The sequence below is a fragment of the Homo sapiens genome, chromosome 1, assembly GCF_000001405.40.
Source record: "Homo sapiens chromosome 1, GRCh38.p14 Primary Assembly".
Taxonomy (NCBI): domain Eukaryota; kingdom Metazoa; phylum Chordata; class Mammalia; order Primates; family Hominidae; genus Homo; species Homo sapiens.
The window spans coordinates 152,470,790-152,473,339 of NC_000001.11; the positions used below are offsets into that span (position 1 = coordinate 152,470,790).

Genomic DNA, 2,550 nt, shown 5'->3' on the forward strand with positions numbered 1-2,550 from the left:
AGAGCCTCAGAGATGCAAATTACCCAAACAGGATATTAATTAAGCATTTTCCCTTCACTGGCTCTGCAGAATGTGTAAAAATCCATAAGAGAATGAACACCTCAGGCTAATCTTTTGGATGAGTTGTAACTAACAATGTCCAGTCCTTCTCAGAACCTCTGATTGATCAAGCCCACTGGTTCTTGGGTTATGCAGGCAGTGCAGACATAAACCAGGCTTCAACCCTTTGTTGGCCATTCCCATGGCCATGGAAAGGAAGGCAATGGAGGGCAAAGCATCAAGATGGTATAGAGAGGTGGAAACAGCACAGCCCAGACACTTGTGAGGCTCTTACATCTTTACCACCTCACCAGTCCTGCACATGCCCTACAGTAATTATAGCTAACACTTAATGAGTACTTACTGTGTACAGGCCCTTTGCTAAGTATTAACATGGTATCATTTAATCCACAAAGCCACTCAATGAGGTGGGCATGGTCATTATTCTCATCCCATAGACTAGGAAATTAAGGTCTTACAGCAGGGGCTGGTGAGCTGTGGCCCATGGATCAAGTCTGGGCCACTGCCTGGATTTGCAAATAAAGTTTTATTTGAACACAGCCATATCTTTTCTTTTTTTTTTTATTTTTTTTTAATTGATCATTCTTGGGTGTTTCTCGCAGAGGGGGATTTGGCAGGGTCATAGGACAATAGTGGAGGGAAGGTCAGCAGATAAACAAGTGAACAAAGGTCTCTGGTTTTCCTAGGCAGAGGACCCTGCGGCCTTCCGCAGTGTTTGTGTCCCTGGGTACTTGAGATTAGGGAGTGGTGACGACTCTTAACGAGCATGCTGCCTTCAAGCATCTGTTTAACAAAGCACATCTTGCACCACCCTTAATCCATTTAACCCTGAGTGGACACAGCACATGTTTCAGAGAGCACAGAGTTGGGGGTAAGGTCATAGATCAACAGGATCCCAAGGCAGAAGAATTTTTCTTAGTACAGAACAAAGTGAAAAGTCTCCCATGTCTATTTCTTTCTACACAGACACAGCAACCATCCAATTTCTCAATCTTTTCCCCACCTTTCCCCCTTTTCTATTCCACAAAACTGCCATTGTCATCATGGCCCGTTCTCAATGAGCTGTTGGGTACACCTCCCAGACGGGGTGGTGGCTGGGCAGAGGGGCTCCTCACTTCCCAGAAGGGGCGGCCGGGCAGAGGCGCCCCCCACCTCCCAGATGGGGCAGCTGGCCAGGCGGGGGCTGACCCCCCACCTCCCTCCCGGACGGGGTGGCTGCTGGGCGGAGACGCTCCTCACTTCCCAGACGGGGTGGCTGCCGGGCAGAGGGGCTCCTCACTTCTCAGACGGGGCAGCTGCCGGGCAGAGGGTCTCCTCACTTCTCAGATGGGGCGGCCGGGCAGAGATGCTCCTCACCTCCCAGACGGGGTTGTGGCCGGGCAGAGGCGCTCCTCACATCCCAGACGGGGCAGCGGGGCAGAGGCGCTCCCCACATCTCAGACGATGGGCGGCTGGGCAGAGACGCTCCTCACTTCCTAGATGGGATGGCGGCCGGGAAGAGGTGCTCCTCACTTCCTAGATGGGATGGCGGCCAGGCAGAGGCTGCAATCTCAGCACTTTGGGAGGCCAAGGCAGGCGGCTGGGAGGTGGAGGTTGTAGCGAGCCGAGATCATGCCACTGCACTCCAGCCTGGGCACCATTGAGCACTGAGTGAACGAGACTCCATCTGCAATCCCGGCACCTCGGGAGGCTGAGGCTGGTGGAGACCAGCCCGGCCAACACAGCGAAACCCCGTCTCCACCAAAAAAATACGAAAACCAGTCAGGCGTGGCGGCGTGCGCCTGCAATCTCAGGCACTCGGCAGGCTGAGGCAGGAGAATCAGGCAGGGAGGTTGCAGTGAGCCGAGAAGGCAGCAGTACAGTCCAGCTTCGGCTCAGCATCAGAGGGAGACCGTGGAAAGAGAGGGAGAGGGAGACCGTGGGGAGATGGAGAGGGAGACGGAGAGGGAGAGGGAGAGGGAGAGGGAGAGCCATATCTTTTCATTTATGCATTATGTATGAGTTCTTTCATGGAACAACTGAATAGTTAAGAAGCGGTGACAGAGAAAATCACAAAGCTGAAATATTTACTATCTGATCCTTTACAGAAAAGGTTTGCCAAAACCTAATTTATTCAATGGCACCTTTTTTGAAGGAGGCTGAACTGGGCTATGAACCTGGGCAGTTGGATGCCAGCACCTATACTTACAATCACAGGCTCAATTGCCTTATTATGAAGCCTGACTTCCTGGGTGTTCAACCTGCACAGTTATATGGGGCCGGCACTTAGAAGGCCCCATATGACTGTGCATTTGGTTTAATGCTCTGCTTTTACTTAATAATTTTTGAACAAGGGGTGCTGCATCTTCATTTCACATTGGGCCTTGAAAATGATGTAGCTGGTCCTGCTTATTATGGCAACCACTAATGTTGAGTATCAGAGCAGAAGAAAGGCCCCTAAGCCACCTGTTCCCCTGCCTGTATTCATGAGTCTGATGTGGTTCATGAAAT

General features: G+C 51.5%; 1 annotated feature.

Moving 5' to 3' along the window:
* Positions 541-1,445: an enhancer, noted in NCBI's record as "NANOG-H3K27ac hESC enhancer chr1:152443806-152444710 (GRCh37/hg19 assembly coordinates)". NCBI's record gives its function as "activates a minimal SCP1, AML or CMV promoter by ChIP-STARR-seq in primed H9 embryonic stem cells {active_cell/tissue: H9 hESC(primed)}" and the evidence as "EXISTENCE:reporter gene assay evidence [ECO:0000049][PMID:30033119]".